The 24,808-nt window shown below is 37.2% G+C and overlaps 1 protein-coding gene across 53 annotated transcripts in view; it reads left to right on the forward strand.

The window, feature by feature from the left end:
* IFT88 (intraflagellar transport 88) overlaps window positions 1–24,808 on the forward strand; it is a 124,288-nt gene that overhangs the window by 69,235 nt on the left and 30,245 nt on the right. For 50 of the 53 annotated variants that reach the window (NR_134653.2, NR_148462.2, NR_148463.2 and 47 more), the window contains 6 exons: window positions 1,941–2,127; window positions 4,899–5,007; window positions 7,064–7,214; window positions 8,452–8,567; window positions 17,485–17,537; window positions 19,974–20,039. Coding sequence is in view for 46 of the 53 variants with exons in the window: in XM_047430655.1 (XP_047286611.1) it covers window positions 1,941–2,127; window positions 4,899–5,007; window positions 7,064–7,214; window positions 8,452–8,567; window positions 17,485–17,537; window positions 19,974–20,039 (682 nt within the window). In the remaining 7 variants the exon portion in view is untranslated. Of the gene's footprint in view, window positions 1–1,940; window positions 2,128–4,898; window positions 5,008–7,063; window positions 7,215–8,451; window positions 8,568–17,484; window positions 17,538–19,973; window positions 20,040–24,808 lie in introns of those variants that run through there. The other 3 variants (NR_148465.2, XR_007063700.1, XM_017020775.2) reach the window with 2 other exon arrangements.

Here is a 24,808-nt window from a genome sequence, read left to right on the forward strand (position 1 = left end):
CTATATTTTCTCTAAATTCTACCTGCAAACTAAACAGTTCTCTCCTTAGCTCATTTTTCTCTTCCTATACCTGATCAATCATACCCAGTTAAAATAAGTTCATTGGCCCTTCAGCATCCTACCTAGAAATCCCCTTGGCCACATGTTGCATATTTATGAGGTGCACTTCCTATCCTCCATCCCACTCTGTGGGTGCCACTTGTGTCAGTGCTTCATGGTGACAGTGTGGTTTGCACTTTATCCAGCCTCTGATGATTCCTTCTGCCTTTGCAGGCTCACTCATGCTTCACCATCTCTCCAGTCCCCAACACAGGCCCTCACAGCTTTTCTCAGTTTTGCCTGCTACGTAGTCCAAAAGACAATGTTACATGTTTTAGTTTTTAAGCAGCAGCACCTCACTTGTCGGTACCAATTTTTGTTTCAGAGTTCACATAAAAACTTGCACATGAATGTTCATGGCAGCATTATTCATAGTAACCATAAAGGTGCCTGGAAGCAACCCAAGTGTCCATCAACAATGAATGGATAAATGAAATGTGGTCTACCCATACAGCGGGACATTATTCAGCCTTTAAAAGGATTGCAGCACAGATGCATGCTAAAACATGGACGAACCTTAAAAATATTATGCTAAGTGAAAGAAGTCAGACACAAAAGACTGCATATTTTATGATTCTATTTATATTCAGTGTCCAGAATAGGCAAGGAGACAGAAAACAGATTAGTGGTTGCCAGGGGCTGGGGGAAGAGGAGGATGGGAAGTGACTATTGATGGGTACAGGGTTTCTTTTGAGGGTGGAAGTAGATATTGGCAATGGTTGCACAACTTTGTGAACCTACTAAATGCCACAGAATTCTACATTTTAAAGGGGTCAGGTTTATTATATATAAGTTATATCTAAACTTTTTAAAAAGTTTAACGAGGGACGGTCACTGTGAGTGTTATGGGAAAAGGGGCATGGGAATTTAATGTTATACAGTTGTGAAGGAGCCATGGCGGTGAAGGTGCAGAAGGGGAGCTGGAGATCTGAGGAGGAGTAACCATCAGTCAGTGAGTGGCCACACATATCTAGCTGCCACAGTAGAACCCAGAGGGCCTTCATGGGGAGTTCTGTGGGAAGCAGATGCCTCTGTGCAGCTGCCTCCTCTGGGGACCACAGCCAAACCCTATCTTGGAGCAGGGACAGCATAGTCAGGAAGAAGAGCTGCCCTTGGAGTGGAGTAAGTGAGGAGAAGCTGGTACCCATGGACACTTCTGTGTCAGACCTGCATCTGATGACAAGAAAAAGGCTTTCTGAGACTAAAGGCCACTGCTTCAGGTCTGCATTCCAGATGTCACACAAGTTCCTCTTTTGGCCAAGTCTAGACAAGAGGCTAATAGTGAAGGAGCTTCTTGGAAATGTAGTTCCTGGCTTAACCAAGCTGACCTGGCACAGATGGTCACAATATTTAAGAACAGAGAGGTTCCTGTAGCTCACGTGAATGATGGCAAGGCCCTGACCGAGCATTTGGCATGGAGACGGAAAAAAACAATGGATTGCTAGAAGTGCAGAGACCTAGTAGGTGACGCAGCCAGTGTGCTAGGGGCAAGAAGGGTAGTGCTTTTGTGACAGCTATTTCAGGGCTTCAAGTGGGAGGGGGAGTGCTGCAGCAAATGATGACATGCAATTTGGGCGTTGAGTATGGAACCACCTACATATAAATAGTGTTGTTATTCTAACCATGAGACTGTGGAGAAGTCAATCACAAGAAACTTGGGTGGTTCAGCCTGATAAGTAAAACTCTATGTAGAATCAGACTATCAAGACCAAGATATGTAAAATATTTTTGTTCATTACATTTATAATCTCAGAAAGTCTATTTATTATGTCTGTAATCTCAGAACAGTCAGAAAAGGTATTTCATGAAATTCAAATAATTTGTATATGTATTTTACTTAGGGAAAGGATTTTGCACAAGCCAGCAGCTATGCAGATATAGCTGTGAACTCTGATAGATATAATCCAGCAGCTCTTACTAATAAAGGGAATACAGTTTTTGCAAATGGTGATTATGAGAAGGCCGCTGAATTCTATAAAGAGGCTCTAAGAAATGATTCTTCTTGTACTGAAGCACTTTATAATATTGGTAAGTGAAACAAGGGGAAATTGCTTTTTAAATTATTTATTTGCTTTGTATTTGTTTTTGTTTTGTTTTGCTTAAAGAGCTCTAACACATTAGGAGGAGGAGTTGACTTCCTTCTAACGGAAAATTGAAGACTACTGCCTCTCAGATTATAGATTATTTTAAATGGAATTAATGATTCAGAAGCTATGCACATGCAAAATTTGGATCAGGCTTGCCATACTGCCCTCCAAAAAGGCTTTTCCATCACAGTGTATAATACTAATTTCCCAAATTTCTGCTAATACTGGATATTATCATTCTTTTTAACTTTTGCCAAGTTCATAGATGGGAAAAAATCCCATTTGCTTTCTTTTTAATTATGAACAATTTCAAACATGCACAAAAGTACACACAAGAAATAAGTACCCATGTACCTATCACCCCAGTTTGACACATTTTCACATTTTGCCATCTTTACTTCAGATTTTGTTTTTAATAAGCCAAATACTACAAGCCATGAAGTCTCACCACCATCACATTCTCTTCCCTGCCTTTCAGCGGTTGCCTGAAATGGGCATCATCACCCCTGGGCATGAATTTTCAGTATTGCAAACACATGTCCATGCAGTACTGGGTCTTGTCTCTTGGATTATTAATAACTTTTCTTCTGAAGTTTTCTTCTCCCTGCCTAGGTATTTTTTGCTTTCTTTGGTTTGCTTATTTTATTCTCTTTTCCATGTTATGGACTTTACTTAGATGTCTAATGATTTTGGGCTGTCTCCTGGTATTCAGGAGTTTGTGGCTAAAAACTGAGTGGAGTCTCTAAGTCCATGAGAGAGATTGATGGGTTGGCACTCTGCTATAGGGCATCTGTCTGGTCTGGTCTGTTTAGTTGGAGACCTGTCCATAAGTCAATTGGATCTTTCCTCCCAGAAAAGACTCTTTAATCTCCTGCCTGAAGGAGGAGGGAAGGCCTACTGCCAACCTTGAAGAATAGGGGAGGCAAGAAGGAATTAGCCATTTTAGGTGGAGTCTGGGAGAGCCTCATTGAGAATGTATGTTTCAAGTCATAGAAGGAAGGGAGGCTATGACCACTTGGGTATCTGGGAAGAGAGCATTGAAGAGAGGCACAAAGGTCTTCATGCAGGAGCTTGCTTCCTAGATATATCCTTATTTATTTGTTTTGTAACTATTAAATATTTCTCCTTTCCCAATTGCTTCTATTTTAACTTTGTTTCTAATTTCTTTTATCAGAGAATTGTTTTATTATTGATATAGTAAAATTTGTCTTTTTTTTTTTTTTTTTTTTGAGACTGAGTCTTGCTCTGTCGTCTAGGCTGGTGTGCAGTGGCATGATCTCAGCTCACTGCAACCTCCACCTTCCAGGTTCAAGTGATTCTCCTGCCGTAGCCTTCCAAGTAGCTGGAACCACAGGTGCGCTCCACTACGCCCGTCTAATTTTTTGCATTTTTAGTAGAGATGGGGTTTCACCATGTTGACCAGGCTGGTCTGGAACTCCTGACCTCAAGTGATCCACCTGCCTCAGCCTCCCAAAGTGATGGGATTACAGGCATGGGCCACCACGCCTGGCCAAATTTGTCTTTTTAAATAATTGTGGTTATTGCTTTATTCATTTGTTTATTGCTTTATGAAGCCCTTCTTAACTCAAGATTATAAATCATTTTTCTGTATTTTCTTTTCATACTCTTCTTATAGCTTTGTTTTTTCTGTTGAGTTTCAAAATTTTGAGTTCATTTTTTATGAAATAAGAATCTACATTTAAAAAAATTAATGGCCAGGTGTGGTGGCTCATGCCTGTAATCCCAGCACTTTGGGAGGGCCAAGGCAGGCGGATCATGAGGTCAGGAGATCGAGACCATCCTGGCTAACACAGTGAAACCCCGTCTCTACTAAAAATATAAAAAATTAGCCAGGCGTGATGGCGGGCGCCTGTAGTCCCAGCTACTCAGGAGGCTGAGGCAGGAGAATGGCATGAACCCAGGAGGCGGAGCTTGCAGTGAGCCGAGATTGTGCCACTGCACTCCAGCCTGGGCGACAGAGCGACTCCGTCTCAAAATAAATAAATAAATAAATAAATAAATAAATAAATAAATACAAATTAATGTATAGTCAGTTGTTCTGGCACCACTTATTACTAGCACTTTCCTCCCCACTGATTTTAAATGTCTTTAACTAAACTCTATAGTTGAGTGCATTTCTGAACTGTTTATTCTGTTCTATTGGTCTGTTTGTCTATTCCTGCCCCCTACCACACTTTTAAAATCACTGAAGCTTTGTAGCATCTTTTGGTGTCTGCCAGTGGAGAATCCCCACCCTAACATTATTCTTTAAAAAAATCCTCAGTTGGCCGGGTGTGGTGGCTCATACCTGTAATCCCAGTACTTTGGGAGGCTGAGGCAGGTGGATCGCTTGAGGCCAGGAGTTCCAGACCAGCCTGAGCAACATGGCAAAATCCCGTCTCTACTAAAAATACAAAAAATTAGCTGGGCGTGGTAGCACGTGCATATAATCCTAGCTACTTGAGAGGCTGAGGTGGGAGAATCACCTGAGCCTGGGAGGTCGAGGCTGCTGTGAGCCATGTTTGTGCCACTACACTCCAGTGTGGGCAGCAGGAGTGAGACCCTGTATCAAAAAACAAAAACCTGAGTTCATCTTCATTTTCTCTTCTGGATAAATATTTTCATATATTTTGAGATTTATTCTGTTATGTTAAATAAATTAATACCAATAATGATACTTATAGATTTTCTTTTTTTTCTTCTTTTTTTAAGGCCTTACCTATGAGAAACTAAATCGGCTAGATGAGGCTTTGGACTGTTTCCTGAAACTTCACGCAATCCTACGAAACAGTGCCGAAGTTCTTTACCAGATAGCAAATATGTATCTTATTTGAAAACCTTAGGGACAGTTATTAATTCTCTCAATTGGTGATTGAAGATCAATTATTAAATAAGTTTAACTAATGAAGTAATTGATGAGGATAATATTTGAAGTAAGTGATGAGGATAATCTGGCAGATTATTGTGTGATAAATATCATTTGAGTAATCCTATTTTAAGATGTAGTTTGCATCGAAAGAGGAATTAATGGTTAAAACTATTATTTATTAAATTTTGAAAATAACTGAAGTAATTAGGACATTTTCGGTACATATAAGCCATTCATTGAAAGTCAATTTGGTGCTTTAGAACGTTGTATTAATTCTGAAGCTTGTAGGGTATCATTGAAGCACTAACTTACTAAATAAAATACTGTTTATTACTGATTACTATTGATTGAATTTGGATAATTTTTCTTACTTTTTTAGCTGGCCTGTAGATATAATGAGGTCTCCAAAGACTGTTACCCTCTAAAATTATGTAATTCTTCATATGAACTCATTCATTCTGTTCATTTAATAGTCATTTATTGAATGTATACTATGTGTATCAGTATTATGTTTCAAACTCAGGGGAATGTAGAACTACAAAATGTTGCGCTAATATCAGTTTCTTCCACAACACTTAGCTTTCTTAATAAGCCCTGCTCTTGGTTAGAAAAGCAGAAATGTGTTAATGTTTTTAATGCTTTTCATGCTATTTGAAAAGCACTTTTAATTTCTCTCCTTATTTTGGTAAGCTTTGGCCACAACATTGGGAAGAGTTAAACATCTTAGGTAGATTTTCAACTTACTGTTATCTTGGTTTAAATTTTATACAAATATGTTTAGAAAATTTTATATGTTGTGAGGTGTACCATTAATAATTTTAAGTACTATCTGCTGTACTTTTGATAAAGAATTTTATTGAAAAATTTTAGTTTTAGGCCAGGCACAGTAGCTCACACCTGTAATCCCAGCACTTTGGGAGGCCAAGGCAGGCGGATCATTTGAAGTCAGGAGTTCGAGACCAGCCTGGCCATCATGGTGAAACCCCATCTCTACTAAAAATACAAAAATTAGCCGGGTGTTGTGGCAGGCACCTGTAATCCCAGTTACTCCCGAGGCTGAGGCAGGAGAATCACTTGAACCTGGGAGGCAGAGGTTGCAGTGAGCCAAGATAGTGCCACTGTACTCCAGCCTAGGTGCAGAGCTAGACTATCTCAAAAAAAAATTAGTTTTAGAGCAGATAGCATCATAGTTACTCCTGTTAGTCTTTTTGTTCTGTTTTGTTCATTTAATTTCTCTGAAACTGCCAGTGTCATTATCTTTTACCACCCAGTTCATGATCAGCTTGGATCCAGTCAAGCAACTGATGTATTTGAGACTGTTTGAGTACATTTTCTTTTTTTTTTTTCTTGTGGTATCACACTTGTCATCGTTAAAAACAGTAGATCTTCTGGTGTCACTCTTGTCACCATTGAAAACAATGCTTCTTTTTCAATAAACTTTGAATTGGAATATTTTCATTTCACTGAGATATCTAATATGTATAAAATAAATAGTAATTAATCAAAAAGTACTGATATGAATAAATTATTTGTATATACACCGAAGACTTAGTAGGTACTAAAAGGAAGCTACAAAAAAAAAAAAAAACAACACTGTCCTTGGGTTTATAATCTAATTAGGGAAAACTCACAGGAAAAACACATGGAAATAATTTCCTTAATATGCTGAACATGTTAAGAAAAAGAATAACTGGATGCAACATTCAGGACATTTTTATTAAGGACAATTTTTGGACAATACTTTGAATAATTCTACCAGAAATTTGGGAGTTGATCTTAGTGGATAGTAATGGAGGAAAAGGGAAAGCAGGCTATATACATAGGGAGCAAGAGTGTTACCTCCACAGTACTGCTGCATTCCATCTCCACCCCTGAGATATCCAGAGGAAACAGTATACAATAGCACATTACTGTAGGCTAAGAAATATTGTTACTGTAATGTTTTTTAAGTTTGCTTATTGCTTAATGAATTTAGAAAACATGTTTTCCTTAACTGACATTGCATAAGATATGAATTAATGGAAAATCCCAGTCAAGCTATTGAATGGCTAATGCAGGTGGTCAGTGTTATTCCAACCGATCCTCAAGTTTTATCTAAGCTAGGAGAATTATATGATCGTGAAGGAGATAAATCTCAAGCATTTCAATATTACTATGAGGTAGGTGTGTTATCTTAATTTCCTTCTGTGTTTTAGCATTTTATGAATTGTTATAAAGAAGGCAGCAAGGCTTTAAAATTTTAGAAGATCTTACCAGTTTTAAAATGATTTATTTAAAATAAAGCATTCTTGGAAAATGAAGTTAGTTTTTGTTTTGTTTTGTTTTGAGATAGAGTCTTGCTCTGTCGCCCAGGCTGCTGCACAGTGGTGCAGTCTCGGCTCACTGCAGCCTCCTCCTCCTGGGTTTAAGCAATTCTCTTGCCTCAGCCTTCCGAGTAGCTGGGATTACAGGCGCCTGCCACCACGTGCAGCTAATTTTTGTATTTTTAGTAGAGGGGTGTTTTGCCATCTTGGCCAGGCCAGTCTCGAACTCCTGACCTCAGGTGATCTGCCTGCCTCAGCCTCCCAAAGTGCTGGGATTACTACCACGCCAGGCCTGAAGTTAGTTTTTTACTTGTTTTAATGAAAAAATGAAATAGGGCTGGGCATGGTGGCTCACGTCTATAATCCCAGCACTTTGGGAGACCAGAGTGAGAGGATTGCTTAAGACCAAGAGATGAAGAACAGCCTAGGCAACATAACAAGACCCCATCTCTACAAATAATAATAAAAGGACAGTCCTGGTGGCCCATACCTTTAATCCCAGCACTTTGGGAGGCCAAGGAAGGCAGATTACTTGAGGCCAGGAGTATGTGACCAGCCTGGCCAACATGAGGAAACCCCCTCTCTACTAAAAACACAAAAATTAGCCAAATGTGGTTGTGGCATGCCTGTAATCCTAGCTACTTAGGAGACTAAGGCACGAGAATTGCCTGAACCTGGGAGGCAGAGGTTGTAGTGAGCCAAGATCGCATTTACTACACTCCAGGCTGGGTGACAGAGCGAGACTGTCTTAAAATAATAATAATTAATAATATTAATAATAAAAAGAAGTACCAGTTCATTTTTCTCTTGAGGCACGATTTGCATCTCTTTTTTATTCTTTTAAATATTTAAATTGGACTCAGCTCATATATTGTTATATCAAAAGTATAGATAATTGAAAAGTGTGTCAAGCAAAGCTTAGGTTTTCTAAATATTATATAGTTTCAGAATTTACAAAGTACTTAGGACAGTTCATACTCCTTTATTAAGAAATTCCATATTGGATAAATTTATTCAATAGGTAAAGTATTCAAGAAGTAAATTATATGTTGCCATTGAAGTTGTATTGTTACATTCCATATTTGTTTTACAGTCATATAGGTATTTTCCTTGTAATATTGAAGTCATTGAGTGGCTTGGAGCCTATTACATTGACACCCAATTTTGGGAAAAAGCTATTCAGTACTTTGAAAGAGCTTCTCTTATACAGTAAGTAATCATTAGGATTTTATGTTTAGTTAATGTCATGTCTTGAGTTTTTTTAATCCCTAGAATTAGTATCTGATAGACCTAGTAAATTCAAGAACAGATGTTGATGGACATTCATAAATTATTTTTGTTTGTTTGTTGTTTGTTTGAGACGGAGTTTCGCTCTTGTTGCCCAGGTTGAAGTGCAATGGCGTGATCTCGGCTCACTGCAACCTCCGCCTCCCAGGTTCAAGCGATTCTCCTGCCTCAGCCTCCCGAGTAGCTGGGATTACAGTCACGCACCACCATGCCTGGCTAATTTTTTGTATTTAAGTAAAGACAGGGTTACACCATGTTGGCCAGGCTGGTCTCGAACTCCTGACCTCAGGTGATCCACCTGCCTCAGCCTCCCAAAGTGCTGGGATTACAGGCATGAGCCACCGCGCCCAGCCAAATTATTTTTATTTTCTTATATTTTATTCCATTTTACTTGGTCTTTATTGTGATAAATATATTTCCCTTTGCATAGAATTTTTTAAATATCCTCTTTAAGATACTTTTCTTTATGTATTTTTCTTACACCTCAGCAAACAATTATTGTTCCTTTATCAATCAGAAAATGACTTATCTCAGTCCTAGGACAAAGTTTCATCTCTAAAAGAGTCTTAATACAAGACAGTTTTGTTGGTTTCAATTTATAATTAATATATATGAAAAATTAAAATGTTTTCAGTGTCTTTAAGTTCGTATCAGAATGTGTTATACATATCTGATTCAAAACAATTCAAAAATAATTGGAATACATCATCTTCTGCTTTGTATTTGGCCATATTGAATTTTAAGAACAAATGCCCCTTAGAATAATTTGAATGATAAAGAAATGCTTAATAAGTGAAATGATTTCTGTTTGGAATTTCTATTAGGCAATTCATTTTGTGATATTTATTTCACATAAATTTCTTTTGAGAATTATAAAATTAATTACCAAGGATGAGGAGATAGTTTTAGTTTAATTATATCTTTAAGATTAAAGCTATTTCAGTAATACACTGTAAGCTTTTTAATTACACTTAATACTACTCTAACATTAGCCATTAGCTCATGCAACACTCTTCCTTCTTTGAGGCTCAGTCCGCCACTGTTCCATTTTTAACTCCTATTTGTAAATGTCAGATGTTGATTAACAGTCAGTCCCTTACCTTACCTAGTCTAGCTTATATTCTTCCTTTTCTTTCCATCACTATTCTAGTCCCACAAGTTTTGACCTCCCTAACTCCATTGATCTTTACCCTCTCTGTAGTTCAGTCACCTGACTCATCTGATTGTGATTATCACTAACACATTTACACCAATAAAATCTTTTTTTTTTTTTTTTTGAGACAGAGGACGGAGTCTTGCTTTGTCGCCCAGGCTGGAGTGCAGTGGCGTGATCCCGGCTCACTGCAACCTCTGCTTCCCAGGTTTAAGCGATTCTCCTGCCTCAGCCTCCAGAGTAGCTGGGATTACAGGCACATGCCACTGCACCCGGCTAATTTTTGTTTTTGTTTTTGTTTTTGTTTTAGTAGAAACGGAGTTTCACCATGTTGGTGAGGCTGGTCTTGAACTCCTGACCTCAAGTGATCCATTCGCCTCAGCCTCCCAAAGTGCTGGGATTACAGGCGTGAGACACCACGCCCAGCCTACACCAATAAAATCTTAAGTTACAATGTCCAGCTGTCTGAACATAACCTCTTACCTTTCCAACTTCCATACTCCCTATTTTCCAGTGCATTTTTCTTTGGTGATATTGAGACCTCCCCTCTTGACCTTCCCCTTATCTTGCAGTCTCAGCCTCCTTCTGACTTTAATTCTGAGCTTATCCATACTAGATTGCTTAATTGGTCACATCTTTTCCCTTTCTTGCTAACATTCCTGTTTTTTTTTTTCTCTCTCTCTCTCGCTTTACTACCCCATTTATTCCAAGAGATTTCAGTTCTTAGGTTATTCCAGCCATTGATTCCATTCCTTTACACAGGCTGTGAAATACTGTCAAAGGTAAATTATGTAACCAGGTGAATTGATGCTACACAAATCTGTGTGATATGAGCACTGCTCATCAGTCTTAAGTATTTCTCTCCCTCCTGTTTCTCTGATCTCTTCAATTCCCCTATGTATTTTATGCCTCGGTTTCCCAGAATATAGAAGCCTTTTTTAGAAACCTTCCTAACATTTCTCTCTACTTTTCTATAAACTTACTTCCACTTGCACCTGCTGTTATCTCCTTCTCAGTGACAGAAACTTATTCAATATACATTCATTATATTACATCTCTTTTGAGCATTTGTTTTCTATACCATATATCTTAATTTTTCACATTTTCTCTTTTTTACATGCTAAGCTTTGATTTGTTCTGTAAGTTCTACCTCTACAATAAAAATGTAGGCTTTTTGAGAAGTGAGAGTATTAGTTCTTATGTCACATAGTTCTTTACATATTCTTTAAATATTCTTTACATGTCAACTTGGCATATAGTTGAATTAAATTAAATTTCTTTACCATAGAAACTCCTTGCCTTGCTGTATCTCTTAGATTTTTATGGTTTTTAATAATATGATGTTTTGGCAATTGGTTTAAGCATAAACTGTTGTTTTATTTTCTTTACATTCATAAATCATGTCTTAAAATATCAAGAAACCCTAGTTCTGACTGGTCCACTTAATGTAATTCCATTCTTCAGCAGCATTAGGTAATGTTCTTTAATATTGATTGTGATGATGGTTATTATAAGACACCATCAAGTGGACCAATATATGCATTATGGGAATTCCAAAAGGGGAAGAGAGAGGAAAAGGGAGGAGAGAGACTATTTGAAGAAATTATTGCCATACTTCCCAAATTTGAGGAAAGACATGAATCCAGAAGTCTGCACAGGCCAGTGAATTCTATGTAGGAAAAACACTAAAAGATCCACAATGAGACACATTATGATCAAACTGTCCAAAAACAAAGAGAGAATCTCGACAGCAACAAGAGAAAAGTGGCTTATCACATACAGGGACCCTCAGTAAGATTATTAGTAGATTTCTCACCAGAAACCTTGGAGGCCAGAAAGCAATGGAATGATGTAAAGTCCTGAAATTTAAAAGCAAACAAACAAACAAACAAAACACAAACTGTCAACCAAGGATTCTGTATCCTGGCCAAGCGTGATGGCTTATACCTGTAATCCCAGCACTTTGGAGGCCCAGGCAGGCAGATCACCTGAGGTCAGGAGTTCAAGACCAGCCTGTCCATCATGGCCAAGCTCTGTCTCTACTGAAAATACAAAAATTAGCTGGGTGTGGTGGCAGGTGCCTATAGTCCCAGCTACTCAGGAGGCTGAGGCATGAGAATCGCTTGAACCCGGGAGGCGGAGGTTGCAGTGAGCAGAGATCGCACCACTGCACTCCAGCCTGGGTGACAGAGCGAGACTCCATCTCAATAAGTAAATAAATAAATAAAATAAGTTTGTATTGTTCAAGTGAGATTGTTATAAGTTTCAGATGTTAATTATAATACCCAAGGTAATCATTAGGAAAATAACTAAGAAATCAAATAGTACACTATAAAAAAGTATTAGGAAAATAACTAAAAATCGAAATAGTACACTAAAAAAAATCAACAAAATACCAAAAAAGAGTAGTAATGGAAGAATTGAGGAAGAAAAAACATATAACACATGCAGAAAACAAATAGCAGAAGCAAATCCTTCTGTGTCAATAATCACATTAAATATAAATTTATTAAACTTTCCCATTAAAAGAAAAACTTAGCAGATTGAATAAGAAAATCAGGGTCTATTTATATACTGTCTACAAGAGATGCACTTTAGATACAAGGACACAAAAGAGGTTGAAAGCAAAAGGATTGAAAAAGATATTCCAAACAAATATTAATGGTAACCAGAAGAGAGTTGGGAGGCTTTATTATTGTCAGACAAAACAGGCTTTAAGTCACAAAAGGTTACAAGAGCCAAAGAATGATGCTATATATTGGTAAAAGGTTCGTTACTGCAAGAATGTACAACACTTAAAAACCCAACAGAGGAGCCCCAAAATATATGAAGCAAAAATTGATATAATTAAAGGGTGAAATAGACCTCATATTAGTTTGAGACTTAATACTTTTAAAAATGTGTGTTACCGTCTGTGAACCTCACACGGAAGATAAATAAGAAAATTAAGACTTAAGCAATGTATAAACCAGGTAGACCTAACAGTCATACACAAGACACTGAACCCAACAACAGGAGATTGTACATTCTTAAGTGTACATGGAACGTTCTCCAGGATAAACCATAGGTTAGGCCACAACTTAATAAATTGAAAAGATTGAACTCATACAAATTATCTTTTTCTGTCATAATGTAATGAAACTAGAAATTAATAACAGAAGGAAAACTGGAAAATTCACAAGTATGTGGAATTAAAGAACACACTCTTAACTAGTGGATCAAATATGAAATCACCAGGGAAGTTAGAAAGTAACTGAGACAAGTGAAAATGAAACACAATGTACTAAAACTTACAAGATGCTGCAAAAGCATCCCTAAGAGGGAAATTTATATCTGTAAGTACATTAAAGAAGAAGAAAGATCCCAAGTTAGTAACCTAACTAAACACCTTAAGGAATTAGAAAAGGAAGAGCACTTTAAACCCAAAGATAGCAGCAGGAAGGAAATAATAAAGGTTAGAGCAGAGATAAATAAAATAGAGAATAGAAAAGCTGTAGAGAAAATCAACAAAACCAAAAATTGATTCTTTGAAAAGCTCAACAAAATTGACAAATCTCTAGCTAGAAGGACTAACAAAAAAAAGAGGACTTAATTACTAAGATTAGAAATGCAAGTAGAGGCCTCACTACCAATTTTACGTAAATAAAAAGTTATAAGAAAACAACCTTGCCTCAACAAATTAGATAACCTAGATAAAATGGTCAAATTTGTAGAAACACAATCAACCAAACCCAACTCAAGAAGAAATAAAAATCTGCATAGACCTATAACCAGTAAGGAAATTAAATCAGTAATAAAAAATATTCCAAGAAAGAAAAGCCATGGGCTACATGGATTCACTGGTGAATTCTGCCAGACATTTCAAGAAAAATTCACACCATTTTTTTTCAAACTCTCCTAAATATTGAAGAGAAGGTAAACACTTCCTAACTCAGTCAGTGAGGCCAGCATTATCCTTATCCTAAAGGTAAACAAAGACACTACAAGAAAACTACAGACCAATATCTTTTGTGAATGTAAATGCAAAAATACTCAACAAAATACTAGCAAACCAAATTTAGCCACATATTAAAAGAAGTACATCATTCGCAAGTGGTATTTACTCCTAGAATGCAAAGATAGTTCAACATATGAAGATCAGTCAATTTAATACTTCACATTAATAGAATGAAGAAAAAACCCACGTGATCAGCTCAATTAATGCGGAAAAGGCGTATGACAAAATTCAACACCGCTTTGTGATAAAAATACTCCAATCAGGAATAGAAAGAACTTCCTTAACGTGTTAAAGTATTGTATGGAAACTCACAGCTAACAGGATACTGAATGGTGAAAGACCAAAAGCTTGCTTTCTTAAGATCAGAAACAAGGATGCCCACTTCCACTGCTTCTGATCAACATGGTACTGGAAGTTCTAGCCAGAGCAGGTAGGCAAGAAAAAGAAATAAAATGCATCTACATGGGAAGAGATGAAGTAAAAATTAACCCTGTTCACAGATGACATGATCTTATATGTAGAAATCCCTAAGGAATCCACATAAAAATCTTAGATATAATAAATGAATTCAGCAAAGTTGCAGGATATAAAATTAACCCACAAAACTAGTTGTATTTCTATGTATTTGCAATGAAAAATCCAAAAAGGAAATTGAGAAAAAAATTGCATTTGCAATGGTATCAAAAAGAATAAAATAATTAGCGATTAATTTAGCCATGAAGGCAAGAGAGTGTCCCTTTTCCCTTGAGTGGTCTTGGCACCTTTTGGCACCTTTGTTGGAAATCAATTTACCATATATATGAGGATTTATTTCTGGATTCTAGATTCTATTGTGTTGGTGTATATATCTGTCCTTCTGCAGCAGTACCACACTGTTTCGATTATTGTAGCATTAAAGCAAATTTTAAAATCAGGAAGCATGAGTTCTTCAACTTTTTTCTTTTTCAAATTGTTTTGGCTATTCATGGTTCCTTGAGATTCCACATGAATATTAGGGTGAATTTTCCTATTTTTGCAAAAACACCATTGGGATTTTGATAGGGATTGCATTGACGTTATAGATCACTTTGAGTAGTATTGTTTTCTTAAAAATATTAAGTCTTCCAATTCAAGCACACACATGCCTCTCCATCTATGTCTTCTTTAATTTATTTCAACAATGTTGTATAGTTTTCAGTGTATAGTAAGTATATACCCAAAGGAATTGAAAGCTGAGGCTCAAACAGATCAGATACTTACACATGTTTGTGTAAGTATCTGATCTGTTTGAGCCTCAGCTTTCAGTTTATGATAGTCAAAAGTAGCCTCAGCATTATTTATAGTAGCGAAAAGGTAGAAACAACCTAGGTGTCCATCAACAATGAATAAACAAAACATGGTACAGTAGTCCACCTTTATACAATGTTTTGCTGTCCACGGTTTCAGTTACCCTCAGTAAAGTACAATAAGACATTTTGAGAGAGACAGACCGCATCTACATAATTCTATTATAGTATATTGCTTTATTTTATTAGTTATTATTATTAACCTCTTACCATGCCTAAGGTATAAATTGAACTTTATCATAGGTATGTTTGTATAGGAAAAAAAATAGTATATATAGGGTTCAGTAGTATTTGTAGTTTCAGGTATCCACTGGTGATCTTGGAACATACTCACCACAGATAAGGGGGGACCACAGTATATAAATAAAATGGAATATTATTCCACTATACAAAGGAAGTTCTGTTACATGCTACAACATGGAAGGACTTTAAAAACATTAGCTAAGTGAAAGAAGCCAGACACAAAAGAACAAATACTCCACTTACATGAAGTGTCTAAAATGGGCAAATTTGTAGAGATAGAAAGTAGATCAGAAGTTATTGGGGATTGTGGGGAAGGGAATTAAGAGTTACTGTTTAATGGTTGCAGAGTGTTTCTGTTTGGTGTCATAAAATGTTTTGGAGATCGTGGTGATGGTTGCACAACATTGTGAATGTGATAAATGCCACTGAATTGTACACCCAAGAATGGTAAATTTTGGCAAATGTTATGTTGTATATATTTTATCATAATTTTAAAGAATTAATACACTAAAACCATTGTATTGTGTCCTTTAAGTAGGTAAATTGTATGGTATATGAAGACTATCTCAGTAATTCAGCTCTTAATAAAAGGATACATACTGCCAGGTGCAGTGGCTCATGCCTGTAATTCCAGCACTTTGGGAGGATGAGACAGGCGGATCGCTTGACCTCAAGAGTTTGAAACTAGCCTGGGCAACATGGCAAAACTCTCTTTAAAAAAAAATAAAAACTAGCCTGCCATGGCAGTGTGTGCCAGTGGTCCCAGCTACTTGGGAGGCTGAGCCCGGGAAGGGGAGGTTACAGTGAGCTGAGATCATGCCACTGCACTTCAATCTGGGTGACAGACTGGGACCCTGTCTGAAAAAAAAAAAAAGTTACATACTATATGATTGTATTCATTTAAAGTTCAAAAACAGGCTAGATTGACAGTATTAGAAGTCATTATACTTACCTTTATAGAGGAAGGAAGGTAATGTATTCAGAAACATAAATAATAATACCACATGGTAAATGCAACACTAAGTGATTCTAGGGTGTTAGGAGAGCATATGGAACAGTCTATCCATGTGGCATTAGCAGAGAGTAAAGAGGTTGGAATGCGCCTCTAAGCAGACATGGTGGTGTATACAAAAGCCAGAAGTCTAGCAAATGCAGGGGATACAGGGAAGTCCGTGCTCCTGTGTGAATTTGCTGTAACATGAAATGTTAAGCAAGGCACGGTGGGAGATGAGTTGGAGAAGCAGAAAAGATCTAGAAAGTAGATAAACTGGGTTAGAATCTTGGATTTAGCATGTAGGTGGAAGGGAGGTAACAGGTTTTAAGGAGGGAAGTAATGTGGTTAGATGTGTATTTTATTTAGATCACAGTGGGTGGCCGTGTAGGCAATGGATTTGAAGTTAAGTAACTTGCCCCAGTAGCAGGGCTGTGATTTAAAGCCAGATCTATCTGATTCCAGTAGGTAGGTTTGCCATCAAATCGAGTAGGAACTGAGGTTTTCTTTGAAGCCATCAGGCTTCTACTTAGAAAGGAGATTCAAAAAAATGAGGCGAGCATAAATTGTTCCCTAGGTGTTTCTTCCTTCATATCTTGCCATCCTGAGATATTTTTAATAGAAGTATTTAGAAATCCTGGTTTTGGTTATTTATTTTAGAAAAGAATTTGATTTCTTTTTAATGGACAAAAAGGGATTAGTAGAATTTTTTTTACTCTCTGTTTAGTCGAAGCCTGATTCTTCAAACACTAGATCAAAAATCGCTTCTCAGGTACTAAATTTGCAAGCAAGTGTAAGTATTATGATAAAAGATTATAGCAAAAGTAATGATCCTTTAAGTTTAAAGTAGAATGCAGTGGGTTTTAACCAAACAGGTTAAGTGGTTCTCATATGAATATCTAAATAAAGGTATGAACTAGAGGAACTTTGAAGAACACTTAAATTTATATGTCCTGATATAAATATGACAAGCAATACTGAGGGAAATTATATATCTGCTGTTCTCAATAATAAAAATTATCTAACAAAAGGTCAAAAAGTAATTGTAAAATAGTAGATACATAGCTTTATAAAACTGAGCATCACAGATTTTTTTATCTCTAATTTCATCTCATTTATTTATTTTATAGGCCTACACAAGTGAAATGGCAGCTGATGGTAGCTAGTTGTTTCAGAAGAAGTGGTAAATGCTTTAGTTTTATTCATTTTATAGATATTTTGCTTCTTTCCTTTTAGGTAATTATGCATATAAATGTGATCCAGTTGCATATCTGTTTATTAAAATACTAACTTTTTATAACTGTACATAATTCAAAGCATTGTATGAAAAACACAATAATTACTACATACAAAAAAGTTATGCTTACAAAATGGGTATTAATCATGTATTCCAATACTTGTCTTAAAAACAGATTTGTTATTTCTCAAAGTTAACATGTAATCATTTTCACAAGTTAGCCACAGAAAAAAATAGGCATACTGTATACATTATATTTCCATTTTCTACTCAGTTAATTCTAAATGTCCTGTGTGCTCGGCCAAATTTATGACACTTGAGAAGCCTGAGAAAAGCTCACACTGAGACAAGTGTGACTATATGTTTTTTATACCAAAGATCACTGGCTATCTTGGTTTGTGTTTTTGTTACTGCTTTTATTAAATTCTTGCTGATGACACATATCCTGAAGGATAGAGATGCTATTAGTTTTAGGCTAACTGTGAAGTGAATAATATGCATAAAATATCAAAGATCAAGCTGGGAGAGAAATGTGAACAAATTTATAATCCCTCTTGTAGAGCATAAAAATGACCCAGGAAAAGAAAGTATTCAATCTAAGGGAAGAGGGAAGCACAAGTTTTGAAAGTGTTGGCAGTTTGTTCTCACCCAGTTTCGGGGGAGGTTTCCTTCTTTATCTCTGTGAGCACCTTCAGAATGGCATCAGAAATGTTTTAATACATAACTCAGTGTATTCCTCAAATCATTTTAGGGGGGATCTGTAATTCCTATTGAATGTACAACATGACTATACTATATACATTCAATTTATATCAACATGAGTTCTCAATTGCCTATGTTCATTTCAACGTCAGTCATATAGAAAGTATATATATACATATGAACTATTCTAAATGATTTAAAGACATAGCCTGCTTCAGTTATGGAAGTACAGGATAGAAGCAGCAGCTAGCATTGAGAACTGGCTTTGGGTCAGATGCTTCCTGTCTCTATTTCATCCCTCTTGTAGAGAGAGGCCCAGAGAGATTTATAACTCATTTGCTAAGATTTTAGGAAAGATCTTTGACCCAAATTCGTTTTTCCTATTTTGGCTGCTACATGAAGCTAAATTATTTTGTTATAAAATAAATTGCTTTCTATAAACTTTCTAATGTTTAAAAAACTGTAAAGGCCGGACACAGTGGCTCACGCCTGTAATTCCAGCACTTTGGGAGGCTGAGGCTGGCAGATCACGAGGTCAAGAGATCGAGACCATCCTGGCCAACATGGTGAAACCCCATCTCTACTAATAATACAAAAATTAGCTGGGCTTGGTGGTGCACGCCTGTAGTCCCATCTACTCGGGAGGCTGAGGCAGGAGAATCACTTGAAGCCAGGAGGCGAAGGTTGGAGGTTGCAGTGAGCCGAGATTGCGCCACTGCACTCACTCCAGCCTGGTGACAGAACAAGACTCCATCTCAAAAAAAAAAAAACAAAAAAAACCACACATTTATTTATTTATTTATCCATTCATTCATTCATTCATTTTGAGACAGAGTTTTACTCTGTCACCCAGGCTGGCCTGCAGTGGCACTAATCACAGCTCACTGCAACTTCCACCTCCTGGGTTCAAGCGATTCTCCTGTATCAGCCTCCCCAGTAGCTGGGTTTATAGGTGTGTGCCACCATGGCCAGTTAATTTTTGTATTTTTAGTAGAGAAGGGGTTTCACCATGTTGCCCAGGCTGGTCTCAAACTCCTGGCCTCAAGTGGTCCACCCACCTCAGCCTCCCAAAATGCTGGGATTAAAGGAGTGAGCCACCACGCCCAGCCCAAAAAAACTATAAAAACATCTTAAATATTTTCCAACTAAATGAATGACATTGACATTACTGTAAGTATATAACTTAGATTATTTTTAAATTTGTCAGTTCATCTGGAATAATCTTTTTTAGAAAATTGAATGGATCTTAATTTTTGCCACTAAAATATTTAAAGTGAACCAGGCTCAGCAATGTGCGTCTATAGTCCCAGCTACTCTGGAGGCTAAGACACGAGGATTGTTTCAGCTCAGGAGTTTATAGGCTGTAGTACTTAATGGTTGTGCCTGTGAATAGCCACTGTACTCCAGCCTGGGCAACAGAGTGAGACCTCGTCTCTTTAAAAAAAAAAAAAAGGAAGAAGCTAAATTTCAGCTATCACCCATTTACTTCTGCTTTCAGCCTTATTTCAAATTTATTTTATCTATACATTTTCTTCTAAAAGTTATATTAAGTGGTATATAAAACATGAAACCTTTCTATTAAACCATTAAATAGCCAGTATATCAGTTAAAATTAATATTTTTCTGAATCCTGTTAGTTTCTATAATTTGCTAATATATTTTTCTCTTGTTTGTTTATAGGTAACTACCAAAAAGCATTAGATACTTACAAAGATACTCACAGAAAATTTCCAGAAAATGTCGAATGTAAGTGGCATTACATAATGTAACTTTGAAGTGATAAGTTCTCATATTTTATGTTCTAATATATAATTACCTTTGCTACAGTAATTGTATACGTAAATACCAACCTATAATTTGTGATACATATTTTAAATATTTTTATAGCATCAGAAAATTTGACTATGCAAGTACATATTTTTATGTAACTAATTGTTGATGGATTTAAATATACCACAGAATTTTCTTTAATACTAAAAAAATACATATTTCAGAGTTCTATAGAATTTTAAGAAAGCATTTTGGCCTATGGTTGATTTTTCAAAGTTTGTAAACCTGTGGTATTTTATAGGAAAGACATTTTTAACTGTCCATTTTAGTAAACAACTTCTAAAGGTTGAGAAAATAATTTTAGGGTTTATAAAAACTGAACATTAATAATCTTGCTGATACAATAGCAAATAATTTTTTTTTAGACAGAGTCTTGCTCTGTTGCCCAGGCTAGAGTGCAGTGGTGTGATCTCAGCTCACCACAACCTCCACCTCCTGAGTTCAAGTGATTCTCCTGCCTCAGCCTCCCTAGTAGCTGGGACTCTAGGCGCGCACCACCGTGCCTGGCTAATTTTTGTATTTTTAGTAGAGACGGGTTTTACTATGTTGGCCAGGCTGTTCTCAAACTCCTGACGTTGTGATCCGCCTACCTTGGCTTCCCAAAGTGCTGGGATTACAGGCGTGAGCCACTGCTCCTGGCGGCAAATAATTTTTAATGTTACTTCAATTTTAAAACATTATGTTAATATGCTGCGTACTCAGTTGTAAAGTTATCTTTGTAGAAGATATTCATTTATTTACTATCTTGTTGCACAGTGGATTGATGCAACTTACAGTAATAATGTGAAGTATTATGGCAGTAACAACAAAATCAAGAAAAACATAAAGTAAGCACAGTCATATGCCACATGTTCTCACTAAACTATAAATTTGTCCCTGAATAGCCTTGCAGCCAAAGGAAAGAGAAAAGTTACAAGCAGTTGTACAATTTTTACTGTTTTATGTGGAAATATAAAGCAATTTATTGGGAAGAAGAAGTATCTCTTCAACTCTTAATTCACTTCTGTTTAGACATTGAGAGATACAGTAGATAAAATCATTGAAAGACACAGTAGATACTTTCTTAAATAACATCCCTATAGCAAATAAAATAATATGCTGGAAACGACCATGTTAAAATTTGTTCTTCAAGGCTGGGCACAGTGGCTCACGCCTGTAATCCCAGCACTTTGGGAGGCTGAGGTGGGCAGATCACCTGAGGTCAGGAGTTGAAGACCAGCCTGGCCAATAGAGCGAGATTCTGTCTCAAAATAAATAAATAAATAAATAAATAAATAAATAAATTTGTTCTTCAATGACAATGAACACAAAAGAATGCATTACAATTTAGTAAAAACAAATCTTTTCTGAGCCAAGTTTTCTAATGGCCAAGGATTAGATGTACTACGTGTTTCTTCATTAATATATTTCTCCATTTGGCTTTCTAAAAAAGCTCAACAGCAGTTAGCTCAGTTATGGTCTTTGGTAGGAGTGTAGGAGCAGGGTGTTCTCCAATGCTGATTAGAAGTAGACTCATTAACTTAACAGCAGTAGTTTTCACAAATACCAGTCAGGAAATAGGCTACATGGGAATTAATTCTAGAATTTTTTTTTTTTTTTGAGATGGAGTTTTCTTCTTGTCTCCTAGGCTGGAGTGCGGTGGCGCCATCTTGGCTCACTGCAACCTCTGCCTCCTGGGTTGAAGAGATTCTCCTGCTTCAGTGTCCCTAGTAGTTGGGATTACAGGCACACGCCACCATGCCCAACTAATTTTTGTTTTTAGTAGAGACGGGGGCTCTACTAAAAACAAAATCACTCTTCAAGCGATTCTCTTGCTTCAGCCTCCCAAATTGCTAGGATTGCAGGTGTGAGCCACCATGCCCGGCCTAGAACTTTTTTAAAGTACAAATTTCTAGCCCTACCTAGAAAGATTTTCATTTAGATTTACAGTGGATGCAGGCGTCTGTTTTTTCCTATTTCTGTTTAAAGAACTTTCTATGTGATTCTTAATCTCAGTCACATTAGAGAACTAGTGCTTTAGAGATTAAATGAGAGATAGCAGTAATAACTTTTCTTGAAAGTGGAACAACCCAAAAGTCTGCTAGGCAAGAGTTTCTCGGCCTTGGCACCTTTGACATTTGGGATTGTGCAATTCCACATTGTGGGAGGCCATCCAGGGGATTATGGAATGTTTGGTAAAATCCCTGGCCTCTGTCCAATAGATTAGCTAGTAGCTCTCTCACCCCTAGATATGAAAACCAGAAATGTCTCTAGACATTGCCAGTGTCCCTTGGGGGTGCAAAATTGATGCCAGTTGAGAACTCTTGAAGTAACCATAGCACCTCTGCACCGGACCGGAAAAGCGAATGTCTTCAAGGAAGGCCAGGTTTTTTTCTTTAGAGTATGAGTCACTCTAAGAATCAAATGAATGATTGTCTATGCCATAGAGGGTGTCTAAGATAACTTTGGCCTATTTAATTTTCAAAACAAATGTAATCAATAGTCTACCTTAACTGTAGTTGTAGAAAAAACATTTACACCCATGGAATGTGCTGTTTTAAGAAGACTAGTTTTCTGGATAAAACTAGCAGGATAATTTAGTTTTAAAACATATTCTTCACCAAAAATTGACCTGCTTTACAGAGTTACAGATGATGTACTAAATTTCAGAGAACATCCACCAAAAATAATGATTTTTACTTTACATTAAGTGTTTCTGGCTGTGCGTGATGGCTCATGTCTGTAATCTCCACACTTTGGGACACCAAGGCCGGAGGATTGCTTGAGCCCAGGAATTCAAGAACAGCCTGGGAAACATGGCAAGACCTCAACTCTTCTAAATATGAAAAAAATATCAGGGCATGGTGGTGTGCATCTATAGTTCCACCTGCTCGGGAGGCTGAGATGGAAGGATCGCTTGAACCCAGGAGTTCCAAACTGCAGTGAGCTGTGATTGTGCCAGTGCACTCCAGCCTGGGCATCTCTAAATCTCTTAAAAAAAAAAAATTCCTAAGCCAATCTTTATTTGCAGAAAGTACAAATTACCTTCTTATTCTGAATTATTAATATAAATGTATATGCAAATGCAATTTTTATAGTAATGTGTGACATTTTAAGTTACTTTATACTATTAACTTTTACAATACTTTATGGTCTTTTTTTTTTTTTGAGACACAGTCTCACTCTGTCACCCAGGCTAGAGTGCAGTGGTGCGATCTCGGCTCACTGCAACCTCTGCTGTCCAGGTTCAAGTGATTCTCCTGCCTCAGCCTCCCAAGTAGCTGGGATTACAGGTGCCTGCCACCATGCCCAGCTAATTTTTGTAGTTTTAGTAGGGATGGGGTTTCACCATCTTGGCCAGGCTGGTCTTGAACTCCTGACCTCATGATCTGCCCGCCTCAGCCTCCCAAAGTGCTGGGATTACAGGCGTGAGCCACCGCGCCTGGTCTACTTTAATGGTCTTAAATTGCTGGTATATTTACAAATTATTGTGGAGTGGAGTGACTATTCTGTTCCAGACGTTGTTCTAGCACTGTGGATGTAGCAGAAAACAAAAGAGACCAAAATCCTTGATGTCGTGGAACTTGTTTCTAGTGGGAAAAGACAATAAACAAATAATGTCAGTAGTTATAAGTGCTATGAAGGCAAAACAGGTAAGGAGCTAGAGAATGTGGGAGGGGCTGGTATTTGAGACAGGGTTGTCATGGAACGGCTTTCTGTTAAATTAGCATTTGAGCAGAGACCTGAAAGAATAGACAGAAGCAAGCCATGACGATATGGAGGTCAATGTGGTTGAAGCACAGTGGACGATGTGATGGGGAGAGAGAGGCAGAGTGGGTGGGCCAGGACCTGTGGATCCTCACAGGCCTTAGGTCAGGGCTTCAAATTATATTTCTGGGGAGATGATGAGCCATTGGAGGATTTTGTGTGGAAGAATAATACAATTTGACATATGTTTTCAAAAGGTTCTAAAGTGTGATTAACTCAAGCTTCTGTACCTGAGGTCCAAATCAAAAGATTGTTTTGGCTGCTGTATGGAGAATAAGCTGGAGTGGGCAGTACCGAAATGCAAAATCACAGTATTCACTTGGACTAATGATTTAGCAGTGGAGGTGGGCAGGATGGATTCTGAATATGTATCAAAGGTATCAGTGCCAGCACTTGCTGGCCATTTAGATGTGAGACTTGAGGGAGAGAGTGTCAAGGGTAATTGCACAAATATAGCTCTGGGAGCTGGAAGGATGCCATCCACTGAGATGTAGGAAACTGGGGAAGAAGCAGCTTTTGGAGGGAAAAATCAAAACCTTTTTTTAGATATGTTGTGTTTGAGCTACCTTTTCGATGTCCAAGAGGATGTATTAAATAGGCACTTAGGGAGAAGTTGGGGGCCATCTTCATATAAATTTATTTCAGTATATTTAGCACATATTTTTGTGCTCTGTTATTATATATATTATCAGTAATACTTTTGAAAAAATGGAGTGTTCACTAGCTTTAAGACTTTCCTGTTTCTTTATCCATTCATTTGTTCCCCAGAACTTTTACCAACTATTTTTTATGTGCTGGGGATACAACAGATATATCAACTTGATTTCTGCCTCCTAGGACTCACAAATAGTTAACTGATATAGGTTAATAAATGAGATAACTGAAAAATGTGCAAAGTGCTGTCAAAATACAGAGGATCTCTTAACTCTGCCCAAACT

The sequence above is a fragment of the Homo sapiens genome, chromosome 13, assembly GCF_000001405.40.
Source record: "Homo sapiens chromosome 13, GRCh38.p14 Primary Assembly".
NCBI lineage: Eukaryota > Metazoa > Chordata > Mammalia > Primates > Hominidae > Homo > Homo sapiens.